The sequence below is a fragment of the Homo sapiens genome, chromosome 2 (assembly GCF_000001405.40).
Source record: "Homo sapiens chromosome 2, GRCh38.p14 Primary Assembly".
Classification (NCBI taxonomy): domain Eukaryota; kingdom Metazoa; phylum Chordata; class Mammalia; order Primates; family Hominidae; genus Homo; species Homo sapiens.
Genome location: NC_000002.12, coordinates 126,960,584 through 126,973,142, shown reverse-complemented (window position 1 = coordinate 126,973,142; position 12,559 = coordinate 126,960,584). Strand labels below are relative to the sequence as shown.

General features: G+C 45.4%; 1 annotated feature.

Moving 5' to 3' along the window:
• Nucleotides 1,211-2,178: an enhancer, noted in NCBI's record as "H3K4me1 hESC enhancer chr2:127728541-127729508 (GRCh37/hg19 assembly coordinates)". NCBI's record gives its function as "activates a minimal SCP1, AML or CMV promoter by ChIP-STARR-seq in naive H9 embryonic stem cells {active_cell/tissue: H9 hESC(naive)}" and the evidence as "EXISTENCE:reporter gene assay evidence [ECO:0000049][PMID:30033119]".

Here is a 12,559-nt window from a genome sequence, read left to right as displayed (position 1 = left end):
GAGTACTTTTTACAATATCTAGAAAGAGGTGAAAGGAAGGACTGAAACAGATATCTGTATACCCACGTTCATAGTGCATTATTTACAATAGTCAAAGGTGGAAGCAGCCCAGGTGTCCATCGACAGATGAAGGATAAACAAAACGCAGCATGTACCTGCAGCGAATATGAACCTTGAGGACATTATGTTGAGTGAAAGAAACCAGTCACAAAATACCGTACGATTGCACTTACATGGGGTCCCCAGAATAGGCAAATTCATACAGATGGAAAGTAGAATGGTGGGTGCCAGGGGCTTGGAGGAAGGGGAAGGGGGAATTAGTGTTTTGTGGGTGCAGAGTTTCAGTTTGGAAAGAGGCAGAGTTCTGGAGACGGAAGGTGCAGATGGTTGCACAGCAATGTGAATGCGCTTAATGCCACTTCAACATGGTTAAAGTGGCAAACTTCTTGTGATGCATATTTTACTACATGAACAAACCAGACGTTACAGCTGGGTGGCATTCCCTGTGGGCGGAGGGGAGGGGCTGGCTGACCCCTTAGCTCTGGAGCCTCACTCCCGTTCCGGGACTGTCTTCATTAGGCCCTGCAAGGCCCAGTGCTGATGAAGGCAAGGCCTCTGCCTGCTGGCCGAGCCCCTGGGCAGGCGTATCTTAAGGCAGCCCCTCCAGTGCCAGCCCTGCTTCCAGCTCCTCTCCAGAAGCCCCTCATTTATTAGGAGAGTGCTTCCTGCTGTCTTCTCCAACCCCATTGGCAGCCCGGTTGAGCACCGGGGGCTGGCACTCTTGTTGACCCAGGCAGCCAGGGCTGGTACAGCCGCAGGCCCGGCCTCACAGCCGAGCTATCCTGGCAGCTGGAGGCCTCCGGGGCCAGGGGCCGGCTCCGGGTCCAGAAATAGGGCGAGCAGGTGGCGCGGGGGAGCGGGCTTGTCAGGCAGCGCTCTGAAGTACCAGCTCTGCTCCGCCAGGGGGAGATAGAGCCCCGCAGTTGGCTCCGCGGCTTGCGCGGCCGTAGCCAGAAAGCTGCTTCGGAGCTGGGGTCGGGAACCCGGCTCTGGGCCTGACCAGATTCCCCTAGCCCCCATCTGATCCCTGCAGGGCTCCCAGGCCCCGACCTGCGCTGTGCGTGGCCCTCGCCAAAACCAATGCCTCGGGTATCTATTAATATTGGCTATGAAACAAAGCAACCCCCAAACTCAGTGGCTTAAAACTACCATTTTATTCTCGCACGTTTCTACGAGTTCTTCTGATCCACGTGGTGTCGACTGGGGCTGCTGCATTTGCAGGCTCGGCTGGCTGACACCCCAGGGGGCTGATCCTCCCACTGGGCTGGCCCTCCCACGGGGCTGGTCTTCCATGAGCTGGTCCTCCCAGGGGGCTGGTCCTCCACAGGCTGGTCCTCCCACGGGGCTGGTCCTCCACAGGCTGGTCCTCCCACGGGGCTGGTCCTCCACGGGGTTGGTCCTCCCACAGGGCTGGTCTTCCACGGACTGGTCCTCCCACGGGGCTGGTCCTCCACGGGATTGGTCCTCCCACGGGGCTGGCCCTCCCGGGGCTGGCAGTGGTGCTGACTGTCGACTGGGAGCTGGCTGGGGCTCCCGACCGTAGTCAGTGCCCACGCGAGCCGCTCCTGTGGCTGTGCTCCTCCAGGGAGGACCCTAAAAGCCAGTGTTGAGGAGGGGAGAAGAGGAAGTTCCTCCGCAAGGCGAGACCCAGATAGGCACAGAGCCACTGCCGCAGACTCCTGCTGACCTCTCAGGGCCAGGCCGACCCAAGGGCAGGAAAACAGATGCCGCCTCTTGGAGAGAGGGACGAGGAATTTGGCGGCCGGCTTTAACCTTCCCTAGAGCTTGATGTCTCCGGGCCTCGGTTTCCCGTCCGCCAAATGGAGCCCTATGCTACGAGAGCTACCACTTATTCCACCAGACTTTTACAGATCTTTACAACCCCCAGGAGAGGGTCAGAGGCAGAGAGCAGGCTTCGAGGGAGCCAGGGAGGCTCTTGCTTAGGTAGCTGGCTAGGAGTTAACTTTCCCAGGGACAAAAGCCACATTCATTGGAAGCTTTTGAGGTACCAGGTTGTGTGCTTTACTTTCATTACCTTTAATCTTCAAAGTAACCCTGTAAGGTGAGTAAAATTGCCCCCATTTTATAGATGACAAAGCTGAACCCCTGTTAGTGAGTTGCAGGACTCACCCCCTTCTCCAAACCCCTGTTAATGACTTGCAGGACTCACCCCGCTAGAGAAGGGGAGAGCAGTCTCTACATTCCAGGGGGCCTTTCTCTGAGAAGCATGTGCTTCTGCCAACGCACTGCCTGCCCAGAAAGCAAAGCCCTACTGTGTTTGTAGCTCAGGAATCTTCACAGCAGGAGGACAAGGATGACTGGCATGCGAAGGGCCCTTCTGAGCCATTTATGGCAGGGAGTGGAGGAGCAGGGAGCTGGCTGGCTGGGAGGATTCTGGAAGGATGGGCTGTGTGGGAGAATCATGTGCAGTTGGGGAATGCCATCTGACTGCTGTCTCTGAAGGAAGGGCCAGACATGGGAAGATAGCACTGAATTTACAGTATGAGGGATTGGGATTCATCTCAAGATAGTGGTTGAAGAAAAAGGTTCTCCCCCGATGTTAAAGGAAAAGACCTTTATTCTGTTGGGGCATGTATAATGCAGACATAGAAGAATATACTGATATTGTAACAGAACTCACAACAGAATATACTGCTATTGTAACAGAACTCACTTATCCTTAGTAATGCCCTTTACACTGAAATTGTCCCGTTTGGGCAACTGAAAAATGAGTATGACCATTGCCTGCTGTCGGGGGCAGGGCATTGCCACAGCAGAATTGGAGAGCCAAAAACTCAAATTCTCAGGTATGACATGACAAATAGGAAGAAATGTGATCAGTCAGAAACAGTTTCTCCTCAAGCTCTGTTGCTCAGAGATAACCACTGATGTCACTTGCATAGTTTTTGATGTTTTCTGCGTGCAGGAATTTTTCACAGGGCTGTATGCAGCCTACCTGGATGTATAATATTGCCTCTTGTGTTTCTGTCTCTTTTCTTTATTTAACATTATAGACCTTTTCATCATGATGTAAACCTCACAGTTACTTTGTGATGTGGACAATTTTTCTTCCATTCTATTAATGAAAACTGGAGTCTCAGAGAGGTCCTGCAGTTTGCGCAAGATCCCACAGCTAGTGAACAGCAGATTTGAGACACACGTCTAGGTCTCTGATGGACTGAACTCCTTCTGCTCTGCCAGCTGCTTCCTATAATCCGGGGCACCCCTGTCGGCCTGGTGTTTGGAGGCAGGTGGGGAGAGGGTAGACCCCCAAGGGCTTTCCATTTGCTCACATGCTTGAGTTGTGTGGACCAGGTATTAATGGATTCTCTGTGTATCTTAGGTTGTTTGCAGTGAATGGGCTGCCTGTTCTTTGGTTCCAGCTTAGTTTAGAAATGTGGTAGCTATTATATTGGGCCACCCAGCAGGGACCTCCCTTTTCTTCCTTTTTTGGGTAAGATACCTGGTCCTCAGGTCTTCTGCAGATCACAGGGATTGGCACGAGTTTTTCCCCAGGATTTTTCTCCTGTTGGTAGTGGAAAGACTGTCTCTTCCCATGGGGTCGCAGTCCTGGAAGAATGTGACTCTGGGTTGCCAGCAGAATGGCTCACCAAGGGCATGACCTGCATCCTGGATTCAGTTGTGTGGGATGCCATCAACCCCACTCCCACCCCATCCTTCTCAGTTATATGACTGAGCACATCCTTTTGTGATGGAACAAGTCAGTGCGGGGTTTTTGTCACGTGCAATCAAGGGTCTTGAACAGAACAGGAGTCATTCATTATAACCAACAGCAACTTACTCAAACTAACTCATGTATAAAAGTTTGTGTGTGTGTGTGTGTGTGTGTGTGAGTACGTAGGGAATTCTTTTGGCATTGAGGAACAGGACATACAACTTGACCTTGTGAGAAATGGGGAGTCAGGAGGGAGTTCCTCAGGCCATCTTTCCTCCTCTGTTCCTTTGGGGTCTCAGTTTCACCACTGCATCCCTCTGGGTTTCTGCTCCACTCATCTATTTTCCTCTGTAGACTGGCTGGTCTGTGACTTGTTGGATGCTCTGGTACCTAAGCTCATCTGTGGCTTTGGACAGCCTTGGTGCCCACGATGGTCCTGATCCTCAAGGTCTGCATCTCAGCCACACCTGCAGGATCTCCTGGTGTGCTGTGCTAATTACATGGACCCAGGAGGAAAGCAAAAATGCATATCTAGTCCTGGGTCAATCATCTGTGGACAGAAGCATGAGGTCATGGGTATAGTCACGGTTCCATAGACCACCTCTTCAGCAAAGGCCATGGGTGGAGCATTTTCTCTTAGTGGGAATGATAGGGAGGCAGCCATGGCATGCCTGGTGCAGAGTGGCTGACACTGGTTGTCCCAGATTCCCCTGTGGTCAGAGGTCCCGTGGCCTTCAGTGGTCTGAGTCATCCTGCCATGCTTCCTCATGCCATAAGGGAGACCCTCACCATCTAGTTCCCATCCTCGCGCTTTCATCCTAGTGACTGGAATCCTCCCCTACATGCCACTCTTCCCACACTTCCATCCACCACCATGACTGAGTGGATTCTCCCCAGCAGGTGCCACACTGTGTGGCTTTGCCCTCCTGCTGGTCTCTCTGACCCAGCACTGCTTCTGTCTTTGATAGCCAGAAAGATCCAGCTCAGCTGCCCACTTCCCATGATAACCTTTCTTGATTTCAAAACTTTCCTCTCTCTGCTCCCTAGTCTCTCCTTGCTTCCTCTAGTAGAGTATTCATTACAGTGAGTTATAATAACGTTTTTCTTTTGTCTGTCTCCCACACTAGGCAGTAATTTAGTATGATGTAATGGGAAGACTTTGGCATAAAAAAATCCTGAGTTCAAATTATGACCCAGTTATACTACACATTAGCCGTATGTCTATGATGAGTGATTCAACCTTTTTGAGTGTTAATTCCTAATTTGCAAAATACAGACAATAATGGTGCCCACCTCATAGGCCTATTGTGAATACTAAATAAGATAAATATATAAAGTGAGTTGCATTGTGCCTTTATTGAAGGCAGGGACAATGCTTAACTCATCTTTTCTTCCTCAGTGCCAAGCATGGGGACTATCATATAGGAGACTTTGTACAACTTTGTTGAATGGATGAATGTTTAATTCAAAGAATAAAGAAGCTCTAAGAATGGACTGTTGAATACTGGGATAAAAGGGGATGCTTTGAGGCATATACTAAAAGAGATTGGGAGGTGTCTGTTAGTTGAGAATTCATGATGCATAAGACACCTCATCCCCTAACCTTTCCTAGGCCCATGGAGGTCTATGGTTGCCAACAAAGGAAGGATGGTCACAAAGGAGTTGGTAGGATCAGACTTATCTGTATTGTCTTTGGCTGCATAACAATAGTACCACAAACTTCATAGCTTAAAATATCACCCATTTATTATCTCATAGTTTCTATGGGTTAGGATTCTGGGCACTCTTTAACTGGATTTCTGTAAGACTGCAATCAAGGTATTGACCATGGCTGGGGTCTCATCAGTTCCCTGGAAGCTGCTGGACTAAGAGCCCTAGTTGTGTGCATTGGCTGTGGTAAGAGATTACCCTCTAGTTTCCTGCTACATGGCCCTCCCCACAGGCAGCTTATAACATCACAGTTTGCTTCTTCAAAGTCAGCAGGGGAAAGGGAGAGACTGCAATAGAACAGGCACTACTATCTTATGTAATATACCCATATTCAGAAATCAGGTACACATATGCCTGTAAGCCCCATCACCTTTGGCATATTCTATATGGTTAGAAGCAGGTCACGGATCCTTCCCACACACGAAGGGAATAAACATTAAGAGTCAGAGAAAACAGGGGACCATCTTAGACTCAGTGTATCATATCATTTCACATTAAACAACTATAAAATTGAACAAAATATTTGAAGCAACTACTTTTGGACACGGAACAGAGGACAGCATTGGACTGTATACCCCGAGAAGAGCACAGGAGGTGAGCTCCACATTGACCCTGGTTTTCTGCATGGGGGCAATTTTAAGCCACAGCTTAGGAAAATAGAGCTTAAATAGAAGGTGATCTTGCTGAGCAGAGGAAAAAGAGATAGAAATTTGGGGCTGCCAGGTGGCTGGAATTTTAGGGGTGCGGCACCAGAGAGGAGGGAACCTTGGAAAAGAAGCCCTGGAAATCCTTAAGAGCTTGGCCAAATCCCAATTTGCTCATATTTAGCAAAAGACTGAGAAGCCAATAACAGCTGCTGGGGGACTGTGGCAGATTGAATTTTGTAAAGATGGTCAAACAATATCTGTCATCCCACATGCTCTTTAAAAATATGACTTTGGCATGCTCCCATCAAGAAATGGAGTCTGTTTCTCTCCTTTTGAGTCTTGATAGACAGTGACTGCTTTGTAGAGCAAAGACAAGTCAATTTTGCTCTGCACAAATTCCTGATCAACAGAAGCTGAGAGCATAATAAAATGGCTTTTGAAGTTGCTAAGTTTTGGGAGTAATCTGTTACACAACAACAGTAACCAGAACATAGAATTAGAGCTGAGAAGAGTTTTCCAAGGTTGCAAAGTGCTGGGGAGATATTGGAGTTCTGACCCCAGCTTAGCTGCCTTGTTGAACACACTTGACATTCAGTATGAACTCCAGAAAAACAATATCTAAGGTATAAAGATAACATCCCTGGTGGAAAACACTGTAATATCAAGAATAAACCTGAGATAGACCTTCACTGCCAGTAACTTGACTACCTAGCAGAACAAAACTTAGCATTATTTGGAGGTAGATAACCCAGAACTTCTACAGATATCATTGATAAGGTCCAGCATACAATAAAAAATAACCAAACATAAAAAAACAGGAAAACATGACCCATAATAATGAAAATGAAGTTATAGAGGTAGACTCACAGATGACCGAAAGGTTGGAATTAGAAATAAGAATCACAGTAATGAGTAATTTAAAAAATTATAGAAAAGTGGACATAATGGTGAACAAATAGAAAATTTTATCAAAAAAATGGAAACAGAAATTCTAGAACTGGAAATTATCTTCCTTGAAATTAAGAATTCATTGAGGTGACAATATTAGACTGGATAATTGAAGAAAGGATCAGTGAATTAAAAGACGGGTCAATAGAAATTATACAAACTGAAGAATAAAAAGAAAAGAGAAAGTAAAAAGCAAACATAACAACCATCACGTACAGAATGCCTAAGACTGATCATTGTCAAGCAGTCTAACATATGAACAACTGGAGCCTCAAAATAGAAGAAAGAGAAAAAATACTTGAAAACATAATAATTGAACATTTCCAATATTGATGAAGAATATCAACTACAGATCGCAGAAACTCAGCAAATATCAAGCAGGAAAAATATTTAAACACAACATAGTCAAACTGCTGAAAACCAAAGGTAAATCTGACATCCCATTAGGAAAAATGGAATAAGAACACAATGAAATGACATTTAAAAAACGTTAAAATAAAACAGAAAGCCAAGAATACTATATCTGGTGAATATATCCTCCAAAAATTAAGGGAGAAAAAGAAAGGTGTTTTAAACTAAAAGTCAGAGCAATTTGTGGCCCTCAGAATTATGCTACAAAAACACCAAAGAAAGTTCCTTGGGCTAAATGTGAAGTATTATAGTTTAACAAGAAAAAAAAAAGAGCACTGGAAATTGTAATATGTGGGTAAATACAAAAAAAAATTACATTTTTTTCTTAAAGGACTATTGATTATTTAAAACAACAATACAAATATGCAATGAAATTAATAACATATGTAGAAGTAAAATATATGGCAACCAAAGCACAAAGGGAATAATGGGGGATAATTGAAATTATGCTGTTATAGTTTTTATATTTGATAAGCATTCTATAATAGTAATCCAAGCCAGGCTGTGATAAATTGAGGAGGCCTACTATAATCCTTGGAGAAGCAATTTAAATTACAACAAGTTACAATTAAAAAAGCAACTAGAGGCCAGGCGCAGTGGCTCACACCTGTAATCCCAGCATTTTGGGAGGCCAAGGTGTATGGATCACTTGAGGTCAGGAGTTTGAGAACAGTCTGGCAAATATTGGTGAAACCCTGTCTCTACTAAAAATACAAAAATCAGCCAGGCGTGGTGGTGCATACTTGTAATCCCAGCTACTGGGGAGGTTGAAGCAGGAGAATCACTTGAACCTGAAAGGTGGAGGTTGCAGTGAGCCGATATCATACCACTGCACTACATCCTGGGCAACAGAGTGAGACTGCGTACCAAAAACAAAACAACAACAACAGCAAACAAGCAAACAAACAAACAAAAAACCCAAAGCAATACAACAACAACAACAAAAAGCAAATAGAGTAGACAAAATGAAAGATGTAAAACTCTTTGGTTAATCCAAAAGAAAATAGGAAAAACGGCACATAGAAACAAAGTACCAAAGAACAGATGGAACAAATAAAAAACAAAAGCAAGATGGCAGATTGAAACATAACCATAATGGTAATTACATTAAGTAAAAATGAACTATAAACTTGCATGAATTATCTATTGCTGAAAAACAACTTACTCCAAAACATAGAGGCTTAAAATAACAAACATTTTTGTTTCACACTTTCAGTAGCTTAGGAATTCGGGAGAGACCTAGCTAGGTTGTTATGGCTCAGGATTTATTATGAAACACCAATCAGGATGTCAGCAGAAGCTGTAGAGAACTGGGGCTTGATGGGACCTGGAGGATCTGTCCCTAGATGGCTCACTCACATGGCCAGTGACAGGAGACCTCTGCCTCTCAAGAGCCTTTCCAATGACTGCTTCAATATTTTCATGACCTGGCATCTAACTGCCCAGAGGGAGCAGTCCAATGGACAGAGCAGAGAAGCCACAGTGCCTTTTAGGACTTAGTCTCTTAATTCATAGACCATCACTTAAGCTTTATTCTGTATCTTGGAAGGGAGTCACTAAGTCTAGCCTGCACTCAAGGGAAGAAAACTGGGCTCCACCTTTTGAAGGGAGTAATATATAAAAAAAGTGGGTAGGTGGGGCAAGGTTGGCCGACTAGAAGCAGCGGTGATTGGAGGCTCTCATCAAAAAGAACCATAATTTGCATGTGATTCCTGCACCAGCAACCAAGGTATCAAGATTCTCTTATCAGAACTGACTAGGCGGCTGGCATGATCCACGGAGAGGAAGGAAGAGCAATGTGGTGAGTGGCCCATCTGAGAGCCAAATGGGGCAGGCAAGCATTGACCTCCCAGCCAAGGGAGGCGGTGAGTGAGGGTGCTACCTAGCTGAGGAAACTGTGCTTTTTCCACAGAACTGTGCAACCATGGATTGGAAGATCCCACTCGCGAATCCATGCCACGGGGGCCTAGAGCCCCAACCCCAGAACCATGCAGATTCTCAACAGCTTCTCAGCTAGAATCTGTTTAAGCCTGCCAAGCTCCTTGGGGGAGGGGCCACCAGAACCACAGCTGTGGCTGCCAGCTGTCTGAGCCATTTGAGCTCTTTAGGGGAGGGGCAGCAGCCAGCAAGGGATCTCATAACTGCCTAACACGCTGAGCTCCCTGGGCAGGGGAAGGGTGGCATCCATCTCTAAAGCTCCAGGCCATGCTTTTCCCCTGCTGGAGCCAGGGGGGTTGGATGACTTGGTTGCAAGAGGTGTCTCCCCCAGCCCAACACACCGGTTGTGGCAGACTGTGGTCAGAGCGCCTCTTCAGGCCTGTCCCTGTCCCATCCTTCCTCAATGGGTGGGGCCTCCCTGCAGGAACTCCAACACCTACAGCCAGAGGCTCAGGGACAGAGAACCCTGACTTCCCTGGGCCTGAGCCCCTAGTGGGAGGGGTGGCCGCAGTCTCTGCAGACCACCAGACTTAGCCTCTCCTGCTGGTAGTTGTGAGGAATTCGGGCAGCCCAGATGAATGGGTTTTCCCCTAGCAAAGTGCACCCACTTCACCAAGGGACAGTCAAAGTGCTTCTTTAAATGGGTCCTGTTCCCCATGCCACCCAACTGGGTAAGACCCTCCAGTAGGGGTTGTCAGACACCCTATACTGCAGCAATCCTACTGGCATCAGGTTACTGCCCCTCGAGGTCAGAGATCCCAGAAGAAGGAGAAGGCACCCATTTTTGCTGTTCTTCAGCCTCCTTGAGGAACATCTCCAGGTGTGGGAGTGAGACGGATGAATAGGGACTGAAGTGAACCCCCAGCAAACTGCAGCAGCCCTATAGAAGAGGGAGTTGACCATTGAAATAAAAACAAAAAATAAAACAGAAAGTGACAACAGCATCAACAACAACAAAAATGTCCCCACAAAACCCCATCCAAGGGTAAGCAGCCTCAAAGATCTAAACTAGACAAACTCATGAAGATGAGAAAGAATCAATGAAAAAACGCTGAAAATCCAAAAGACCAGAGTGCCTCTTCTCCTCCAAGTTATCGCAGTGTCTCTCTAGCAAGGGCACACAACTGAATGGAGGATGAGATGGACAAACTGACAGAAGTAGGCATCAGAAGATAGGCAATAAAAAACCCTGCTGAGCTAAAGGAGCATGTTCTAACACAATGCAAAGAAGCTAAGAACCTTGATAAAAGATTAGAGGAGGTGCTAATTAGAATAACCAGTTTAGAGAGGAACATAAATGACCTGATGGATCTGAAGGACACAGCGCAAAAACTTTGTGAAGCAGAAACAAGTATCAATAGCTGAATCGACCAAGTGGAAGAAAGGATAACAGAGTTTGAAGACCACCTTGCTGAAATAAGGCATACAGACAAGATTAGAGAAAAAAGAGTGAAAAGGAACAAACAAAGCGTCGAAGAAATATGGGACTATGTAAGGCTGAACCTGAAGGAGATAGGAAGAATGGAAACAAGTTGGAAAACACACTTCAAGATATTATCCAGGAGAACTTCCCCAATTTAGCAAGACAGGCCAACATGCAAATTCAGGAAATAGAACACTACTAAGATACTCCATGAGAAGATCAACCCCAAGACACATAATCATCAGATTCTCCAAGGTTGAAATGAAGAAAAAAATGTTAAGGGCAGCCAGAGAGAAAGGCCGGGCCACCTACAAAGGGAAGCCCATCAGACTAACAGTGGACCTCTCAGCAGAAATCCTACAAGCCAGAAGAGATTGGGGGCCAATATTCAACATTATTAAAGAAAAGAAGTTTCAACCCAGAATTTCAAGTCCAACCAAACTAAGCTTCATAAGTGAAGGAGAAATAAAATCCTTTCCAGACAAGCAAATGCTGAAGGATTTCCTCACCACCAGGCCTGTCTTCCAAGAATTCCTGAAGGAAGCACTAAATATGGAAAGGAAAAACCAGTACCAGCCACGGCAAAAAAAAACCAAATTATAAAGACCAATGACACTATGAAGAAACTGCATCAACTATTGTGCAAAATAACCAGATAGCATCATGATGACAGGATCAAATTCACACATAACAATACTAACCCTAAGTGTAAATTGGCTAAATGCCGCAACTAAAAGACACAGACTGGCAAATTGGATAAGAAGTCAAGACTCATTGGTGTGCTGTATTCAGGAGACCCATCTCATGTGCAGAGACACACATAGGCTCAAAATAAAGGGATGGAGGAAAATTTACCAAGCAAATGGAAAGGAAAAAAAAAAAAGCAGGGGTTGCAATCCTGGTCTCTGACAAAACAGACTTTAAGTCAACAAAAATAAAAAAAAGACAAAGGGCATTATGTAATGGTAAAGGGAACAATTCAACAAGAAGAGCTAACTATTCTAAATATATGTGCACCCAATACAGAAGCACCCAGATTCATAAAACAAGTTCTTAGAGACCTACGAAGAGACTTAGATTCCCACACAATAATAGTGGGAGACTTTAACACCCCACTGTCAGTATTAGACAGATCAGCGAGACAGAAAATTAACAAGGATATTCAGAACTTCAACTCAGTTCTGGATCAAGTGGACCTAGTAGACATCTACAGAACTCTCCACCCCAAATCAACAGAATATACATTCTTCTCAGTGCCATATGGCACTTATTCTAAAATCGACCACATAATTGGAAGTAAAACACTCCTCAGGAAATGCAAAAGAACAGAAATCATAACAAACTGTCTCTCAGACCACAGTGCAATCAAATTAGAACTCAGGATTAAGAAACTCACTCAAAACCACACAATTACATGGAAATTGAACAACCTGTTCCTGAATGTCTCCTGGGTAAATAATGAAATTAAGGCAGACATCAAGAATTTCTTTGAAACCAGTGAGAACAAAGAGACAATATACCAGAATCTCTGTGACACAGCTAAAGCAGTGTTAAGAGGGAAATTAATAGCACTAAATGCCCACCTCCGAAAGCTAGAAAGATCTCAAATCAGCACCCTAACATCACAATGAAAAGAGCTAGAGAGGCAAGAGCAAACCAATCTAAAAGCTAGCAGAAGACAAGAAATAACTAAGATCAGAGCAGAATTGAAGGAGATAGCGACATGAAAAACCCTCCAAAAATCAA